This window comes from Homo sapiens, chromosome 17, assembly GCF_000001405.40.
Source record: "Homo sapiens chromosome 17, GRCh38.p14 Primary Assembly".
Taxonomy (NCBI): domain Eukaryota; kingdom Metazoa; phylum Chordata; class Mammalia; order Primates; family Hominidae; genus Homo; species Homo sapiens.
In genome coordinates, this window is record NC_000017.11 from 56,105,709 (window position 1) to 56,127,297 (window position 21,589).

Genomic DNA, 21,589 nt, shown 5'->3' on the forward strand with positions numbered 1-21,589 from the left:
GTCTGTGTGTGTGTGTGTGTGTGTGTGTGTGTATGAGACAGGGAGAGAGGGAGAGAGAGAGTTACATCACAGTGAACTGAGTCAGAAAGCCTTAGATCAGTGGTTCTCAGCCAGACTTAGTTTTGCCCATTCCCCAGGAGGCATTTCTGATTGTCACCATTGGGGTGGTGAGAGGATAGTGGTGGTGTTACTGGGGAGAGGAGGTAAAGGCACGGGATGCTGCTAAGTATCCTGTTACTTTCATGACAGCCCCTACAGCAAAGAATGGCCTGGCCCAAAATGTCAGTAGTGCAGAAGTTGAGAAACCTTGATTTAGACTTTAAAAATAATAATATCCATACTATCTGTCATCCACTGAGTATTTATTCTGTGCCCAACATAGAGCTAAGACTTTCTAAATACTATAATATATATTCATTAAAGCAACCCTGCAAGGAGGATACTATTGTCTCCATTTTACAGATGACTTCTGTCACCTTGCCCAGGGTCACACAGCCAGGACTCCAACCAGGTGTGTTTCTAAAACCTGGGTTCCAATAACCTCTGCCCCACCCATCCCTTTTGTACCTTTGTAAATCCATGGCCAGTGATACCAGCTCTGCCCTTTCCTAGAGTTGTCATGAGGACAACAGTAAGTGAGATGAGTGTTGTGAAAGCAGCACATAAGCTGAAATGCAATTTATGTTACATGTGTACAAAGGTAAGCATGGACCTCAGATCCCCTTACCGATAAAACAGAGACCTCAGAACTGACTGAGCTACAAAATCCCACCTGGCTCTCAAACGCTAGGCTTTGCGGATTGATTTCACTGCCAGATGATGATAACACCAAATTAATCTGTGGGTTCATTTTCTCTTAGCAGCTTGGATAGAGGGTTGGAATCTGAAATCCCAATTTCTGATCCCAGAACTGTCATAATTTAATCATGACATGTTGGCAAGTATTTACCTTTTCTGGGAAGTATTTCCCTCATCTTCTCACTTGGGAATAATAATATTTGCTTTTCCTCAAAAATCTCATCTTGAAGGCCGTCCAGTCCTACCAATTTCTCCCTCTGGATTTTGCTGAGGAGTAAATAGAAAATCCAAGGGAGGGCGCCTGAGAATGTATAAAGTGAAATGGTTATGTTTCTGTATAACAATGATTGTTATTGGGAGCCAGCTTAGGTAACTGAAGCAGTGGGCATTTTCCCAGGAATCTACTGAAGAGAGACACACTGAGAGGTTTTTACAGTTGAAATACTACTTCACTCTCATACTGTCCCCAAGAACATCATGGAAGCTTCAATTTTGCATGTGCCTCAACCCCTGTACCAAAGAAAATCATATAATCCAGGGGGCAAAGTGCTCCATTTCTTTGATGTCAGGGATCAAGTGCCTGGATTTCTGGATGAACTTTGGTGGATGTTGGTTTCCTCTCACCACAGAAGCCATGGCAGGGGGCAGCTAAGTTGCTGAAAGAACCCAGGAGTTTGGGCGCTGGCTGGGCTGGGGCTGCAGAGCTTGAAGGGTGGGCTTGAGTTGCCTGAAGTCCCAAGGAGGTTTCAAGGTGCCCAAGAACTTAGGAAGTAAATGGAGACCAGGAATTCTGCCCATCTAGCTTGGTGGTTTTAGATCTTGTCAAAATGCTCCATCCATGTCCCCAAAAAAAGGCCAATCGCTAGACCATCATTCATTTAATCTGGATAGTTTTTGGAGGGTCATAGCAATGAATTTTACAATGACAGGTCAGGTAAGGTGATATCTGAGTGAAGGCAGAGCAATTATTCATTCCCACAGCTTTAGGGCCTGGCTCTGTTTTCTTTATTTTTAAGGGGCTGTGTTTAAGGAGCTTGTTGGGAAACTAAGCTACAGTCAAAATTCTTTATTTCCTGATCCCAAAGAGCCCGCTAGTGTTCTCTCTTATCACACCTTTGAGCTAGTCATCCAGGGGGAATTGCTCCACATTATCCAAACTTGCCTTTTCTCTCAGTCCACATTAGCCTTCTTCTGGCAGTCTCACACCTGGCCCCTCCCCTGTGTTCACCTGGTAACTCCTACTCTTTTCTTTAGACCCAAGCAGTGGTTCCTTTGAATAGCTTTCTCTGAACTTCCTGCCCTCAAACGCATTCACTGTCACTGCATTCCTATAGCACCTTTTTTAAATTATTTTTTAAATATTTTTATTTTTTTGAGACAAAGTCTTGCTCTGTTGCCAGGCTGGAGTGCAATGGCACAATCTCAGCTTACTGCAACCTCCACCTCCCAGGTTCAAGTGATTCCCCTGTCTCAGCCTCCCAAGTGGCTGGGACTACATGCATGCGCCACCACACCTGGCTAATTTTTTGGTTTTGTTTTTGTTTTGAGATGGAGTCTTGCTCTTGTTGCACATGCTGGAGTGCAGTGGTGTGATCTCAGCCTAATTGCAACCTCTGCCTCCCAGGTTCAAGTGATTCTCCTGCCTCAGCCTCCTGAGTGGCTGGGATTACAGGTGCACACCACCATGCCCGGCTAATTTTTGTATTTTTAGTAGAGACGGGGTTTCACCACATTGGCCAGGATGGTCTCAATCTCTTGACCTCGTGATCTGCCCACCTCAGCCTCCCAAAGTGCTGGGATTACAGGTGTGAGCCACGGCGCCTGGCCTCCCATAGCACTTTCATTACATGCCTACACGTTGAGTCATCTTAGATGGCAACCAGGGCTTTTCTTCTTTCGACTCTTCTTTTCTCCTTGCATTCCTTCACCAGAAACTTCATGTGTTTAACAAATGCTTAGAACACACTTACTATATGATAACCATTGCAAACATTGGATATTCAAATCCCCCTGATAACCCCATGAGAAGAGTACTATTGCTACTCCATCTGATTTTACAAATAAGGAAACTAAGTCACGGAGAGGTTAAGTAACTTAACCAATATATAACGCAGCTAGTACAGGGCAGAACTGACGTTCAAACCCAGACTCCAGAGTTCTGGCAAATGAACAACAACTAACAATCCTAATTTTTCTGGAGTAACAGGATATCTCCAAAGTACTAGAATTAGCACTAGGAAGAAGGTTTTTTATTTTGTATGTACAAGGAAGTATGGGGAACAAAAGCAAAATATTACAATGTTGAGATACCATCTTGCTTTATAAGCTGAACCTGTTTCTCGGCATCTTTCTGAATTCTTTCAGCAAACAGGTATCAGATAAATAGGAGTAATTTTGTAAGCCACTTTCTTCCAAGTGGCTCTTGGTTAAGGCCATTCTCCCCTGAGGTCTGTGAACAGGATCCTGAATGACTAACATTTGGTTAATCATTAATAGAGTGGTTAACACATAGGCTTTAAAGTTCAGATGATCTGGGTAAAAGTCTCAGCTCTGCCTAGCTGTGTGGTCTTGGGCAACTTGCTTGACATCTCTGAGTCTCAGATTCCTGATTTATAAAATGAGGATAATCACTGCATCTACCACTGTATTTATCAGTCAGAATGAGCTTATGTCAGAGTAACAGGCATCTCACATTTATCAGTGGCTCGATACAACCAAGGTTTGTTTTTCATTCAAACTTATGTTCACTGCAGGTTAGCAGAAGGGATTTGCCCATTATGGTTACTCAGGGACATGGGTGGATGGAGCCTCCATCGAGACAAATGGTTCTCCACCTCAGCACTATTAACATTTTGGGGCCAGATAATTCTTTGTTGTGAGGGAAGTCCTGTGCATTGCAGGATGTTTAGCAGCATCTCTGACCTCTACCGACCAGCTGCCAGTAGTACCACCTCCCCCGTGGTGACAACCCAAACTATCTGCAGAAATTTCCAATGTCCCATGGGAAGCAAAAATCACCCCTGGTTGAGAATCACTGATTTACACATGCACTGCCATAATCAGAACAATCAGAATGGCTGAAAAAAAAGGAAAGGTTGAACAGAACACCGGCAATGAAATGCTCCCACATGAAAATGACATACTTGCTTTTCCTCACTTTGGATTGACTAAAGCTGGCCACTTGGCCAAACCTAACTTCGAGGAGGTAGGAAGTACAGTATTAATACAAATTGGGAAGGGGAGAGCTGAAATACCTGTCAACAGTTCTAATAAACAACCATCTAAGGCTGCTGAGAGGATTAAATGAAATACTGCGTGTGATGTGTTTAACACAGTGCCAGGCTAATAAGAAGAGTTCACTACTTGGGAACTGTTGATATTAGAACACAATGCAGGGCTGGCCAGGCTGGGAAGAATGCAGCTATGGGTCAAGCTAGCTCTACCAACAGCTCCTTCATAGGGACATAGAACTTGCACCTCACTTGTCAGAGCTTTCTTTTATTAAAGGCCAGGAGAGGTTGGTTAGTTTGTGGTGCTTAATTGCAAAGAGTGCTCTTATTAACCAATATTGTTGGCCAGTTGAAGATTCCTGTTATTATTTAACAACAACAGCATCAACAAAGAACCCGACTGAGCCCTGCCTGAAAGCGGTCCAGCCTCACTTTAAGCTAACCTTCTTCTTACTCTTGTGTTCTAGCCACTCGAGCCTTCTTCCCTGAACACACCATACATACCATCTTTTCTAGCTCAGGGTCTTTTATTTCTCCTGTCTAGAAGGCTCCCGTCCCATTTATCTAGTTAATTCTTACTAATTTGTTTACTTTTCGGAAAAGCACTCCTGACTTCTCAGGCTAGATATTCCCTCCTCCACCCTCACTCTAATAAATGTTCATAGACCTGAAGCCTTTCCTTCATCACACATCACAATTTGTAATTATATATTTGCTTGTGGGACTAGTCGATTAGTGTCTGTCTCCCTTACTGGTTTCCAAATCAGTCATGACTTTTTCTCTTTTGCTCGCCTTATAACCCCAGGGCCTTTCACCTGGAATATAATAGGCTCTCAATAAATATAGATTGATTGAATGAATGAATGAACAAATGAGTGAAGGCAAAGTGAATGAATGAATGAAGGCAAAGTGAATGAATGAATGAATGAAGGCCAAGACTAAACTCTGGGTCTACTGATACCTGCTTTGAACTCCTTCCTTTAAACCATGCTGCAGGTAACAATGTACTCACCCCAACAATACCTTTTGCAGGAAAGGAAAGTTGGAAAAAGTCCTAACCTAAAATGTCAGGTCCCTCATTTCCTTGAGGACACTCCTAGCAGAAGGTATGCCACCTGCACACACAGTGACCAAGTGCCTCACCCCGGCATGCCACCACAGTAGCTGTGTTTGCACAGAGCTCCCAGTTCCTGGTTGGGAACCATGGTGAAAAGTCTCTAAACAGAGCTGGCTGGGCAGCCTCAAGCTGGAGCCCTGGGGAACAGCCTGAAGGCTGGGAGCACTGACAGGCCGCTTCTGAGCCCCAGGTGGTAAGTCTGCCCTTCTTTCTCAGGTTTTAGGGGTAGCTCTTGGCCTCATTCATCTGGCCCACTCCCCCTGCCCCTTAACAGCCTGGCAGCTGGCCTTTCAAACTTGAATGGAAATCCATTTTCTTCCTTCCTTTAACCTGGAGGGAATCCAAATCTCTTCCCCACTGGCTTGGGGCCCATTCACACCCATGTGCTCACCTCCACCTCCAGTAAGGAGTGATCACTTTCTCCCTGGTTAACTGGACCCTGGTCTGCAGAGAATCAGATGCTCATTGCATCTTTCCCAGGCACACATCAATTGGACCTGCTCAAATGCCACTTACTCTCTGCCTACCACCTCTCTGCCTCTCCTTGTGTGCCTGTGAGTCTCTTTCTCCCTTTGAAATATGATCATACTGCTTTTTGCTGAAGCCATGCATGCCATACCTAAATGTAATACAAGTAAATATTTAAGACAAAACTTCTCATAAATGGCAAAAAAAAAAAAAAAAGATTTGCTGTAGTAAAGCTGGATTACTAGGAACAAATCCCTTGGTACAAATGTATGCTGGAATAAAAACATACAAACAAACCCCCAAAATAAGCATCTTAGGTGACATCTCCCATAGTTCTAAATTTGTTAAATTACCTGTTTGGGGTATGTAAAAATGAAAATCGATGGTGTTGGTCAGAAAGAAAAAGTCTGATAATTAATGCTAAAGTTATTAGGTAACTAGCTAACATAATTATAAAGTACATCTTTAAAAAAAGAGGATGGCAAAATACTGGTGGCATAACTCATTGAGTTTATTCCATTAACTCTGAAGAGCACTTGAAATCATAACGAGCAGAATGGCTGCTGTTCCAGCGGCACAGCCTGCTGAACCAAGGACAAAAATGGTAATCTGAGGGAGAAATCTATGGTCTGAATCAAGAGTATGTTGCCTGGGCTATATATTTTTACTTAAGTGCATGGCAAAATTCTCAAGGGGCTAGCTACAGATGAAATTATCTTCACCTTATAGATTAAATTTGTTCATGCAAGGCTTTATTGACAAAAAATTGTTATAGTGATATAAAAATTATTCAGACATTTAGGGCCATTGCTATTATGATGCTGTCTTTTATTAGAGCAAGAAGTCATTTTTAACAGTCCAGGAAGAGTTATGCATTGTATAATTCCAGAGCTTGTTCATGGCTAAAAACCATTCTAATATCATTCCTGAGGGAGTTGACTTACAGAAGGATGGCCTCCCTCCAGAATGGTGAGGAAGTTTAGCTGTGGTTTCTACTTTAATCTGATTTACTGTTTATGAGTCATAATGTGAGGATCTAGTCGGGTTACAACTAAAATCAATTTTATCCAGACTCTGGTCTTTTCTTTTTTCTCCCATTTTTGATTTTTAATTACTAAAGTAATACTTGATTGTAAAATAGCCAAGCAGAACAGAGGTATAAAGAGTAAAAAGTGAAATTCTCTTTCTAACCCATGTATCCAAGCCAAATCTATTCCCTTCCCTCTCTAGATATAACCACCATTGGCTGGATAATGTTTTCTAAAAATGAACAGGAACACACACATGGAGATTATATATGAAAATAAATTCACATGGGGTTAGATTATCTTAAACTTTTAAATAGAATCACACTATATATTTTGGTCTGCAACAAGCTTTTTTCCACTTAAGAATATGTCGTGGAGAACTATGCCAATATGTGTAGATACACCCTAATTTCTTTTAAACATTGTATAGTGTTCCATTCTATAGATTGCAATGGTTTATTTAACTTTTCTTCTATTGTTAGAGTTTAGATGGTTCCTATTTCTTCACAATAACAAATATGTATCAGATATATATACACATGCATACATATGCATGTCGATATGTGTGCATGTAATTGATGTGTGTATGTGTGTACTTCTATAGCATTTCTATATGACGTAGTATTTCTGTAGGATGAATTTCCCAAAGAGCAATTAACTGAGCTAAATCGTATATGCAACTTAAACTTTGATATCGTCAAAGATACTATCATGTGACCTTATGAAAGTGCTCTGCTAATTTACACTGTGTGATGGTGTGTGTGATGGTGCCCTTTTTGCCATGCATTCACTCCGCTAGATATTATTCATCATTTCATTTTTGCCAACCTGGTGGGTAGAAAATCACATGCCAATGCTGATTTCCGCTGCTTTTCCAAGGTTGGGAGTGAGGTGGACCTAGCCTTATCTTTAGGATTTTTGGGTAATAAACCTTCAGATGAAACAAAATATAGTCATTGAGAACTGTACAGAACCCAAAAAATGAAAGAAAATGAGACCGTTTAAGCTCAGAACTGCATGCACAATGAAAAGGAGCCCCAGGCTGACTTCTTTAATGAGGCAGCACTAATTATGTTAAAAGTTAGCAAGATAAAAGAATGGAAAGGGCCCCTATTTAGCCTGTTACATGCTGTGTAGAAAACAAGCTGGTGAAGTCAGACTGTACAAGCTTTGATTGAATATCTGGACATGTACTGTGGAACCATGGACAAGTTACACACCTTCTGTGTATCTCAACATTCTCATCCGTAAAATGGAACTCTAATGTTGTCATTTTCTTAGGACTATTGTAATGAGGCAGTGCATGTGTAATCTTTGGCACGGTGCCTGGAAAATAAACATTGGGCTCTACAATTGTTAACCATAATAATAGTAAACACAATAGCTAGTATATTACTATTGTTATCATAAGTCAAATAGGCAGTCATACACCCACAGGGAGAAATAGAGTCTTTGAGCAGTGACTAAGTGGCAATTGAGAAGGTCAGATGGATATATGATTAGGAGAGATAGATGTTAGAGGGAAATTCATTGATCCTTTGTAGAGCAGAGTCCAATTAGCCAGAGGGGAATGATTAATTATCTTCTAATTGCAAACTAATTGGACGTCAGAACAGAAGAGGATCTTAGAGGCCATGGAATACAAAAATTTCGTTGCGTAGATGAGAAACCAAGACTCAGAGAGAAGTGACTTTACCTAAGATTATACAGCTACCCAAGCAAGAGAACCAAAACAGGGATCTGTGCCTCCAACTGCAAGTCCATGTTTCCTCCATATTCATATTTTCTATATTACTCTTCATCTTTTAGTTAAACAGAGAAAGATATAATGAAGAATGAGTCTGCAAAAGCACCTTTTTATTTCTTGTTTCTGATTTTGGATGACAGCTTTTAGAAACATAACCAAGTTAAGAACCCTTGCACATCAATAAAGAAATGACACCTCAAGATAAAAATGGAACAAAGTGAAGACCAGGTAATTCACAGAACAGAAAGTACAAATGGCTAACACACATGTGAAAAGATGCTCAACTTTGCTAGTAATCAGGGAAAAACAAAACACTAGTCCTTCGTTTATGCAGTCAACAGGAATTTTTGAGTGCCTGTAATGGACTAGAAGTGGTTCATTTGTCATCATCCAGATTGGCAAATATTTTAGAGCATAACATCAAGTGCTGGTGAGAGTATAAGGAAATAGGTACTCTCAAACATAGTGTGAGGGGTGAGAAATTAATACATACATTTGGAAAGCACTTTGGACAGCTCTTGGCAGAATAATGCTCCTACCCCAAAAATAGCCATGTCTTAATCCCCAGAGCCTGTGAATTCACTGGGTCACATGGCAAAGGGGAATTAAGTTTACAAATAGAATTAAAATTGCTAATCAGCCGATCTTAAAATAGAGAGATTATCCTATATTATCCAGTGACAGCCAATGCAATCTCAAGGGTCCTTAAAAGTGAAAGAGGGAGGCAGATGAATCAAAGTCAGAGAAGGAGAAATAATGACAGCAAGGTCAATGTGCTTTGAAGACTCAATCTGCCATTGCTGGCTTTGAAGATGGAGGAAGGGGCCATGGGCCAAAGAGTATGCACAGCCCCCGGAAGCTGGAAAAGGCAAGCAAGCAGATTCCCCCTAAAGCCTCCAGAAATAAATGCAGTCGTAGCAACACTTTGATTTTAGTGCAGTGAGATCCATGTCAGACTTCCAAGATAATAGGTTTTGTATTGTTTTAAGCTACTAAGTTTGTGGTAATTTATTACAGCAGCAATAGAAAACTAATATAGTTCTATTAAAATTTCAATGGAAATATATTGTGCCATTTGTCTCAGCAGTTACTCTTCTTGTTATTACCTTGGAGAATCACTGTGATTTGTATTTGAGGGGCCACAGTCAGGGATGTCTGCGGTGACATTGCTTGTATTGATGAACAATTGCAGGGACTTCAGCATGTTATCCATGAAATGGGATAGTAAGCAGATGTTAAAGTGAATGAAGCAGATCTGTAAGTACTGACATGCCAAATTCTTCAAAACAAAACACACAGAAGAAGCAAGTTGGAGAATATCACATCCAGTATATACCAATCATATAAAATTGTTACTCTCACACAATGAAATTATATATGTTAATAATCTATACAGGTAAATGGAAGGATGCATGCCAAATAAAACAGTAATAACCATGCAGAAAACAAACAAAACAGTTATAACCATGTGGAAGACTGTTGAGTTTGAAAAATTTATTCCTTATATAATTTTAAAACAAAATTTAATTGAAAAATAATGAGAGATCATCTGAAGACTCATTCTCCCCAGCTCACATATACCTCTCCTTTGCTTTGGTCCACTTTAATGCAAAAGGACCTTGTGCTAACATGTCTGGGAAGAAAATGCTCCAGCATACAGGAGAAAGGATAATTTTGAATGACTGAATTCTCACTGGGGCTAGAAGTCACAGGACTCTCAGTTTTCTTAGTTCTAGCAAGCAGAGTTCTGGTTCTCTTGAGCCCCTGGTCCTACAGGGGAACGGCCAGGCAGGAATCAAGGGTGCACAGTCAAGGCTTTCTAGCACCTTCCCTACTAGCTATCCTATTACATTTTAGAGGACAACACTGAATGTTCCATTTCCCAAATATGCATTAACTTTTTTGTGCATAGAGCACTGCAGTGGCCAATATGGGGAATGGAAATCTTTCATAACTCAATTCAAACATCACCACCTCTCCAAAGTCTTTCCTGACATTTCCCAGCCATGTCCCCAGGTAGAACCGAGCATCCTCTTTTTTCAGCTTTCTTAATGTTATCTATATTTATACTGAATGCTAGATTGCATTCATTGTTTTTACATATGTCTCCTCAACTAGACATACAATCTCTTGAATTCAGGCATAATGCTTTATTCTTTGTGGTATTTCATGCCTTCCAGATAATAGGGCCTTATATAGCAAGTATTGGATTATTATAAACAGGATGTACCTTTTTACACTCAAAGGATTTACAATCCAGTGGATAAACAAAAGGTAGTATTGTTTGCATATGGTTTGTTTGGACCTTCCAAGTCTCATGTTGAAATTTGATCCCCAGTGTTGCAGATGGGGCCTAATGGGAGGTGTTCAGATTATGGGGGCAGATCCCTCATGTCTGGCTTGATGTCATTCTCAAGAAAGTGAGTGAGTTCTCACTCTTAGTTCCCATGAAAACTGGTTGTTGAAAAAAGCCTGGCACCTCTTCTTCTCTCTTTTGCCTCCTCTCTCATCGGCTCCCCTTCACCTTCCACCATGAGATGAAGTACCCTGAAGGCTTTACCAGAAACAGCTGTTGGCGCCATGCTTCTTGTACAACCTGCAGAACCTTGAGCCAAATAAACCTCTTTTCTTTATAAATTACCCAGTCTCAGGTATTCCTTTATAGTAACACAAACAGGCTAAGACAGAAGGCAAGTTAAAACAAAAAAGATTGCATTAAGTTAAAATGTGACTTTCTCATGATAGATGTGATGGTTACCTTTCTAGGGGATGGTGACTGCAGGGAGCATGAAGGTGGCTTTTGGAATGCTGGTCATATTCTGTTGTTTTGATCTGGGAGTTAGTAATACAGGTGTGCTCATTCTGTGAAAATTTATCAATTATCTGTATGTATGTTCTTCTTCAATAAAAAAGTTAAAAATTTTTCAGCTCCTCAGACAGGTCCATCTTGACCACTTTATCTAAAATAGCTCCTGTTCTTGCCTTATTTTCCTTATTTTTTTCTTCATAATTCTTGTCACCCCATGGTATTATATTATAAATTTATGCCTTTATTAAATCCATAAGGATTGGACCACTGTCAGTCTTTTTCATCACCATGTCCCCAGAGCCTGAAGTGGGGCCAAGCACATGGCCCTCAATGACTATTTGTTGAATTTTCTATGAATACATGTAGTGACAAGGAATGAAGTATTGACTTTTGCTCAGTAACATCACAAAGGACACCTGATTTTAGTTGCATCATTAGGAGACTATTCTTATCTAATGGATGAAAAATAGAAGGAGATAGATTGTGAGCTCACGGTAGTCATCATTGGACTGCAAAAGTACTTAAATAAATGTCCTTAAATTTTCCCTCCAAATGGGATGGGCCACAAAAATACTACCCAGGGCATTTGCAAAATCTAATTATCTTCTAGAGAAGTTTTTACTGAGTAAGAAATTTGTCTCAAGAAGGCTTCAAATGTTGATTTACTTTAAAGTTAGGCTTTCTGTTCTTTCTCATGATCTACCAATTACACAGGAGATAGCCAAGACGAAAACTGGAAAAGGAATAGGCAAAGACAAATAGTATCCTAGGAGGGCAATTTTCTCAGACTCTTCCGTTTTCTTGTTCTGTAAGGTTTCTTTTAAGCTATATTTTACAAACTGTACAAATTACCCATTTAAAGTGTTCCATTCAATGGTTTTTAATATATTCATAAAGTTATGCAACCATCACCACAATCCATTTTAGAGCATCTTCATCACCCCAAAAAGAAACCTAGTACCTATTAGCAGTCCCTATCCATCTCTGCCAATTCTCCAGGCCTGGCTACCAGACTCATTGACTTTCTGATTCTATAGGTTTGCCCATTCCACACATTTCTTATAATAGAATCATACAAAATGTTGTCTTTTGTGACTAGATTCTTTCATTTGGTATGATGTTTTCAGGGTTCATTTACATTATTGTGTTTCAGTATTTCCTTCCTTTTTATTGTAAAATAATACTCCAGTACGTGGATATACTACATTATTGTATCCATTCATCAGTTGATGGACATTTGTATTTTTTCTACTTCTCAGCTATTATGCATAATACTACAATGAACTTTCAAGCACAAGTTTGCGAGGTCATATGTTTTAATTTCTTCTGGATATACATCTACAAGGGGAATCTCTAGATCAGATGGTAACTCTGTATTTAACTCTTTGAGGAACTGTTTTCTAAACTGATCTCAAAAGTAGCCACAACATAGTACATTTCCAGCAGCAATGAATGAAAGTTTTTGTTTTTCCACATAGTCTTTTAACTTTCAAATACATTTTTTGTAATACCTGATTTGCATATAAATATCTGTCATAAAATCAAATGGGTACACTTATATCTTAGAATCTGTGATATTTACTTATGTCCCTTATTAGTCCCTTACTAATATTGCTGCTGCTGCAACTACTGCTGCTATTGATGATGATACATAGCATTTATTAAGGACTTATGATATTACAGTCACTGTTCAAGTATGTTACATGTGTTAACACACATTTAATCTTCCCAGCAATCCTCTGAAATAGATAGTATAGATGAGAAATAATGATAACTTGTACTGGTGGAACAGTAGTGAGATATTAAGAAGCGAACATATTACATCATTTATTTGTCTATTTACTCAGTCCACAATATTTATTGAGCATGCACTCTCTGCTAGGCATACCGTGTAGTTTACCAAGTTGACTGTTATGAGCAAAAGAGATTTGGTCTCTGTCCTTAATGGATTTGTAATCTATTGATTTGAAAGATATTTAAGAAATGAAATCAAGATGCATTTTTGATTAACTTGATATAGAAAGTGATGCACAAAAAGGTTTCCAGTTTGGGCAACAGGAAGACAGTTGTGCTATTTTCTTAAGGAGCATGGAGGTTCGAGGAGGTGAAAAGGTGGGTATAAGACAGAAAAAAATATGATTTCTATTTTGAACATGTTGATCTTTAGGGATCTGTGAGACATAAACAGTTGGAAATACGGGTTTGGAATTTAGAACAGAGATCTGCTCAATGTATAAATTTTGGAGTCCCATAGATCACTGAAATCGTGGGCACAATTGCCTAGGGGAAGGGTAAAAAAATGATGTGATAAGACCTTCTAGGACTAGACCTTGAGGAACTTTGACATTTAAAGACGAGTTAAAGAAAGACAAGGCACTCAAGAAACAAGAGCTTGTAATGCTCCTGAAGTCAGAAGAAAAGTGTATTTCCTGGAAAAGAGCCATCAACAGTTGTGAATGCCACTCAGAGGCCCAGAAGGGTGAAGATGCTTTGGATTGAGAGGCCTGGCGGTTATTAGTGACTTTCTAGACAGCTATGTGGTAGGGTAGTGTGGGAGAGTACACCAGGCCAGTAGAACATGATGGAATGGAGGCAGAAAAATGTTATAACTCTTTTTAAAAGCTTGGTAGAGAAGAATCTGGAATAGGGCAGTAACTAGCAGGGAAAGAAACATGGTTCATTTTGCCTTTGACAGAAAATGCTAAAAGAGTACTTATGGCTATTGGTAAGAATTAAGTGAAGTATGAAAGTAATGATTTATGTTCCAAGTTCAATTATACTTTATTAATTTTGCCTGCACCTTTTGTGTATAGACTGAGCAAATGTTGAAAGTTTTACTAAGCACAGGGTAGCAGAAGAACATGAACTACGTCCTGGACCTGTCATGTATAGATTAAGTTATTTAATAGCTTTAAGCTTCAGTTTCCTCATCCTACTTTTCAGGATTATTGCAATGATGAGAAATAGCATATGAAAAGTCATTATTATCACACCTGGCACATAGACAGCTCCCAATAAATGGCAGCACTTATTATTTCACTCCACACAGCTGTGTGATTTGTGTTCGTCAAATCCTTTCTCAGGTTTTCGTTGCTGGCAGGGATGTTGTTTCCATTAATCTAAGCTTCAAATAGCTAACTAGGTTTCCTGTTCCTAAGCCTAATTCTCAAATGATGCTTCATTCTTCCATCATCAACATGTATTCATTTTTTCAACATGGGTTTACCATTTCGATTACATTACTCAGCCATATTTTTAATCATCTACTCTTGTCATCATTGTCATTATCATTCCATAAAAGGGAGTTCCCCAGCATCAACCTGCCATTCACAGCCCTGGGCTTACACTGCTTTACTTGATCTGTTTCTACATCTCACTCCATTCTGCCCTTCTACAAGCCACGTTTTCCACTGTTCTCTTATGCCTATCCTCTCATCACCCTTCGGACTTGATCTATGATATTTTCTCCCTAGAGTTGACCTTGATTCTTTTTAGAATGATTCTTATAGTCTTTGGCAATCTTGGGATATGCTATCCTCAGTTTAATCCAACCCTTAGGATTTCTTTTAGAATGGTTCTAATGGTCTTTGGCAATCTTGGAATATGCCATGCCTAATGGAAGCCAACTCTTATGACTCTCCTACCCAGGAAAAATGCCCACCTGATTACTGCCGCCTCCTCTGGACAAAGCTTGGACAAGCATGAAAATAAGAGAAAAATTGCAATGCCAATTGATACGATGAGTAATTTACCTTGATAGAGAACTTCCTAGAATGCACTAATTGTTTCACAACTTCAACTGTCTTCTTGACACCTCCAATGATGGTTGCAGCATCACCTTGAATTCAGGAGGTTTGAGTATTACTTGCCATTATCAGCTCCATTTCTTAAGTGCTCACTTCCTGGCAGTATGCTATTTGTTCTTCCAGTCCAGACTAATATTAGAATTAGTCAAAACTCTAATATCGGTTTGATACCTATAACCCTTGCCCCATACCACCAACTCTACCATCATCCATTTAGTCATCATTACTCAAACTCTTTAATGATTTTGAATTTATCGATTTTTCCCATTTCCCTGACATTTTAACCTATATCCTAGTCTTCCTAGTTCCTCACTTATAGCACTTAGTGATTAATCTTCTCGGAACTGCACTTTGATCATATCACCACCCAGATAAAAATCCCTGTGACTCCATATATTTGAAAAATAATGTCCAGATGTCCCCATCCTACCCTTTCATCTTTTTAATGTCTTCCTGCTTCTTTTTAAAAGATCTTATTCCAAGCAGCGTGTTCTACTTGTTTTTTTCTTGGTGTCGCCCAGGAGTTGTTCTTGCTTTCTCTCCTTTGCTCATATAGTTTCACTCAAAAGCGATCATCTTCCTCAAGGCTCTCTTCAGTTGAACGTCTTTCAGAGAATCAGCGCCTTAGTGTTAATGATTCCCATTCTATGAGCTAAGAGCACTCAGCTAGCTTAATCATGTCCTGGATGTTAGTCATGTAATGCCTTGTGTTTGCCTGTCTTTCATTTCTTAGAATTTTACATCTGACAGCTTCTTAAAGATGACATTATCTTTGGCTGTTTTGCTAGAGGTAAAGTGTTCATTATACGGGGACTTTTGCTCTCTTGTGTGTGATTCAGCCTCCACCAAGAATGTCACATCAAAGAAGGACAGTGACCAAATGAAATACGTACAGAGGGAGAGTGCTAGGGGAAAAAAAGGGTGGGGGAGAGGTCTGAATATGGGAATATTCAGGGTTGGTAGGTTGGACAGTTGTCTCCGCATAGTTATAGAAAAATATTTAGAGTTAGTCCATGTGACCCAGAGAATAAAGGGATCATTAACATTGGTTATATGAAAATATTTTAGCAATCAGTATAGCAGAAACAAGAATCAATTAGAAAGGATATTGGCTGTAGGTCCAATGTAGAGCCCTAGAGGGCCTCCTTGCTGTACTAGACGTGAAGCCTTTGGTTTCTGGATCATGACAAAGTTAGACATTCCTCAGGAAGGTGCTGGGGTTTTAGGGTAGCAGGGGTTGCTGGGGGGAGGTAGTTTGGGCAGTGGTTATCTAACACTAGTACAGAGGTGCTTTATAACTGACAAACATTCACTAGCACCTGCTAGCTGAAGATCAGAGCTGGCCAGTTAACAGGTTGACATTCTGAAACTTGGCATAGGAGGAACCTACCCCTAGAATTGGACAGTCTGAGTAGTGGCTTTCCGAGACTTGGACAGCTTTCAGAAATACTACCAACAGGAGGAAGATATAGGGAGATATATTCTCAGTAAAATATCATCTAAGTTTTAACCATTGGAGTTAATAGAGCATAATGTTGGCCTAGAAGACCTTTATGGCTCCTTCAAACCTTGAAATTACAGTTTTATAACTTTATCATAACCTACTTTCTTCATTTTATAGATGAGGAACCTAAAAGGAAGGAAACGTGCCTGAGATCTTCTTTGTTGTCACTGTTTTACTTCCATATCATGGATTTGCTTTTCTATGTATATTTGTCTTGCTCTCTCAGCTGCAGTTTACTTCTTCTACTCCCTATAATGATTAGAAGCATAGTATGTATACACAGGATGTTAATAAGCATGTGATATATGAATGGATAGATTGTTCATCCCTGTCCACATCTCAAACTCAGGATCCCACAGAGAAAACTTCATTCATCCCCTACTCCCTTCTTCTGCTTCAGACTATTGGAACTCACCACTGCTTCTTCCGCCCCTGACCAAATGCTAATGGAGGTGCTAATGAGGCCCTCTGGCCATCAGAAAGAAAGAGAAAGAAAATCAAATAGTCTAATTAATCCACAAATTATAGTCACTGAAAAAAAGTGGTCATATTTCCTATAGAAAGCCAGACAGGGACTAATGGGCACTAAAGCATTGGTCTTGGCTCTTGTGGGTGTGTAGTTTGGAGGTTACCTGTTGTTTTTTCAGGGATTATGAGGCACCACTTGGCTTCCATTTGGGTGGAGCTCACCAGAACTCTGTTCCAAGTCTGAGCTGTCTGTTTGCTTATTAAATGGAAAAGGAGGGCAGAGAGTAACCTCTTTGTATAAGGTGAGCCTAATATTAATAGCAAACATTTATTGAGTACTTATTATGTGCCAGGAACTTTACTAAGCATTTTCCTTGGAGGAGTTCATTGAATCCTCTACCATTATTTCCCCTACTTTATACACAGGGAAACTGAGGCATGGACAGGTTAGGTAACGTGCTCAAGGTCACACAATAAGTGGCTAAATATGTGGTCAGAGACATTTTAGCTAGTGCTAAATCTACCAGCTGCATTCTGTAGCCCATGCTCTTGACTGTTTCTGCCTATACCATGTTAACCAGAGTGGCTGCATCTTCCATCAGCGAACTCTGAGAATGCAGAACAGCTCCTGCCTTGAGCATCTCAGAGAGATGGGGCTGAAACATCACAGTATGGGAGTTTAATGGATAGGCTTGAAGATGATGGGGAGGGCAGCGGTAGGAATATGCCAGAACCATCTGGTGGGTCAGAGCAGAAAGTGAGGGAGAGTGCTCTGTGACCTGTGTGACCTGTGTTCGGCAGGTTTAGAGTTCAGCCTCTTTCAGGACTCCCAAAAACACACAGAAGATTTTCACTATAGCAGGGAGCCGCATGGGCCTTTATCCAGTGAGAATGAAGACAACTGCACTTTAAATTAGTATTGTAAGTGAAAAGCACATTTAAGTGTGAAATCAGTAGGTGTGCTAGGTTGAAAATCTAAGAAATGAGTCAAGAAGTTAGGAGTAATTAGGTGTAAAGAGAGACCTTGCTGCTCATGGATTAACAAACTCAAGTTTGTTTTTTTCTAAAGGCCTTGTGTACATTATGTGTGTGAGCCTGTGTGCATGACTGATTGTGTGTGTGTGTGTGTGTGTGTGTGTGTGACAGAGAGAGACACAGAGAGAGAGAGAGAGAGAGAGAGAGACTGTGCAAGTCACTGCAAGTCTACATGAATTATGAGAGGCATTCCCCAGTAGGCTTAGTCCCACTCTAGGGATTCAGTAAGAACCCCCAGAAGGCATCTCTTCTGAATTTGGGCTGGCAATTAGTCACACCTGCTGACCAGTAGACGAGGGGTCCATGGTGCGCAGAAAACCAAACAAGTATACCAACTTTTAATCTAGGCCTGTATTTAACAAACTCTAAGGTCCATGTAAATCACCTGGGGTGTCGAGTTAAAATTCAGGTTCTGATTCAGTAGGTCTGGGACGGGGGCTGAGACTACATTTCTAACAAATTTACAAACATTTTGCTGGTCTGTGAACCACACTCTAAATTCTACATAATTTTCTCTTTTTATCCTAATATAATGTGTGTGAATTTCCACATTTGACAGATAAAAGTGCTGAGGCATAGAGTACTGAATGATTTGCTCAGTCACGGAGCTGGTGGGTTCAGTCCATGTGTGATGGCCACAGAATCCATGCTGCTTCTGTTATACGCCACTGTAGCATATAAGCACATTCAAGCTGCAGCTTCTTTGAGACTCAGTGTGGTGGCATACAAACGTGGTCCTTGGTACTGAGACACAGGACAGGCCCCAGTGTCCCTGCCGGTTTACTCAGCCCACTGTTTTCTTGGGTCCCTGGATTTAGTGTATGCTGGGACAGGAGTCTGGCTTTATCCACTCTAACCCTCTTGTTCAGGACCCCAGTCAAATCCTAACCTAGGGTTTGGCCCACTTTCTATTGTCCCAATCAGACGCTCGGAACAACTCTCATTACTTTTCTTGGACTAGCCACTAGACACAACTATAGGCCCTCACTCTGCCCCTTGGATGGAACTAATGAATTAGAATACCACTTGGAATATTCTAGAGTAACAGGCCTGCCTTTGGGATTATTCATTTGCCATTACCAATCACACCCTCAAGGGGCCAGCCCTTTTCTCCCCATATTTTTAACCCATGCTGTCCTTGGTTCTCTTTCCTGGTCTCCGTGTGACCTCCTGACATGCCTAATGGCAAGGTGACACTATTTCTGGGATGGTCTCTAGCTTCCTGGGGCTAACATTTTGGTTGGGGTAATGAATGCAAATAACCAGTCACTTGTCTCTCTGCTTTGCTCTTCTCCCCACTCTTCCCATCTTTAAATGCATAAAACCTGAGGAATCTACTGCAAACACCATTTTCCCATAGAACCTTTCCTAATCACCTCAACTTACATTGACCTCTCTTTTCTCTATACCCCTCTGCCCAACAACATCTTCCTTTCATGTGTCTCATAGGAATTGACACTTTTGACCTTTCACTATGGGCAGCCTGAGCTGTGACTTCCCTTGTATCTTTGGTTCCTCAAAGGGAGCTCCAAATCTGGTTGGTCCTCCTATCTCCAGCAATATGCTTTGCACATTGTATGTGCTTAGTAAATGGCTGTTAAATGTATGAAATTATTCCAAGTGAGACTAATACTTGGTATAATGAAGGAACAAAAACCAAAGAGGTGGAAGAACAGTTGAATAAAAAGGAACCTGGGAAAAAAGGAGAAGACTCCCTGAAGGTCTCATAGAAGAAATGAGATTGATCTCTCTTGAAGGGTGAGTAGGACTTCCATAGTGGGATTACTAATAATTATAATGATAACTAAAAGGTATTGTGTGCTTACCATGTTCCAGATACTGGCTAGACCATGTGCTCATTTTATCCTCATCATAGCCCTGTAAAGTAAGTTGTTTCTATGATAGTTTCCATTTTACAAATGAGGAAACACAAGGAAAGGCACAGAGAGGCCAGTTCACTTTCTCCAGGCATGTGGATCGTTCGGTAATAAAGTTATGATTTGAATCCATCACTGGAACTCCACAGCACACACTTTGAATACTAATGTTCTAAGTAGAGATGGAAATGCTCCAGGCACAGGTAAAGCCATGAGCAAAGGCAAGACAAGAGAGGGAAGCAGCAATGCACCCCACACAGCAGGGGCAGACAGGCCGGCAGGGGCCACCATGGTGCCAGACAAGGCTGGGAAGGTGGTCTGGGGACAGTCCGGGGTCATGTTTTCCCTTCATGAGAATGAAGACTATGAGCCACAGAAAAGAAATACCGAGTCAAATTTGCACGGGGAAGCATTATTTATGTGCTGTCTCTGGCCCCGCCCGGGGCTGCTGTTGTGTGGGGAACGAGGATCCCAGCCAGTGCCCCTGGACTGTTCTGTGGGCCAAGGAGCTCACTGCAAAGTCACACTTTGGAGAATAAAGCTGCTGGTGATGCCCAGAGTGGCCCAAATAAAAGTCAAATACCACATTCAGTCCTCCAGGGGTGTTTTTGCTATTAAATTAAGTCTGGAAAATAAATAATTGTCTTTGGATTTGATTTGAGAGATTTTTGGTCATTGAACACTCAGGAAAAAAAAAGGGGGGGCTATTTCTTGAAAGATTCCTTGACTGGCTCCCCCTGCCAGACGACAGCGGATCACAATGAAGGCATGCTGTCTGCAAAGAGATGCTTTTCTCCCCCTTCTTGACACAATTATCCCAGAAAAATAGAGGGGGGAGGGGAGGCTTCGTCATATGTTCCAATTTTTATTGCTACATTCCTTGGATGGCTCCATATGTTTACCTTTTGCTGACTTTAGACTTGGTGTTCTCTGTGGCTGCTGGCGTCGGCCACAGAATTCTTTCATGTCTATTACTTTATTAAGGAATGTAAAAGCCACATACAGACCGACCAGGGGACACAACAGTAGGAGACACAAATAACCCTGAATGCGCTGGCAAAGAGGAGGCTTCACACCTAATTCTCCCAGATGATTTGTAAGGCTCTCCAGGACCAAAAGGGGGCACTCTTAGCACTTGCTCCCAAGCCCAATCAATAATACCATTTTGATAAGTAAAATAGTGCAGAAACAGCACCAGGCTTTAAGATTGGTCCTGATGAAAGCAGAATGGGGTGAAAGAAACCACCCTCATTACTAGATATTTAAATTTTTTTTCTGACTTTTCATCAACTAGAAATAGAAGCTCTAAATCATGGGGAGACAGTTAAAATTAAATGGGATAAATGCACAAAAAATTGCTTTGCACAATGCCTTGGCATATCTATCATAAATGCTCAAAAAGAGTAGCTATTACATACTCAACTTTTACTACCTCTTAAAAGGGGCACTGAAGCTAGGTCCAGATTGGCTCATAGCACAAGAGTGTAATCATGAAATGGGTCTTTATATTGAATACCATTAGAAGTGAGGGCTAACAGGTAATCACTCAATTCCTACAGTGCACCGAGCACTTTGCATAAATTATCTTGTTATCATGATTTTGTAGATAAGGAAATTGAGGCTCAGGATGACTAAATATATTGTCCTCATATGTAGGAGAGGCGGGATTTGAACCTAGGTCTGTCTGATTGATTCCAAGCCT

General features: G+C 40.5%; 1 protein-coding gene across 4 annotated transcripts in view; it reads left to right on the plus strand.

Moving 5' to 3' along the window:
* Positions 1–21,589, plus strand: part of ANKFN1 (ankyrin repeat and fibronectin type III domain containing 1) — a 470,940-nt gene that overhangs the window by 59,632 nt on the left and 389,719 nt on the right. For 3 of the 4 annotated variants that reach the window (XM_017024263.2, XM_011524430.3, XM_011524431.3), the window contains exon 1: positions 5,266–5,338. The exons of the other annotated variant lie outside the window; for it this stretch is intronic. The gene's annotated coding sequence lies outside the window, so the exon portion shown is untranslated. Of the gene's footprint in view, positions 1–5,265; positions 5,339–21,589 lie in introns of those variants that run through there. 4 annotated transcript variants of the gene reach the window in all.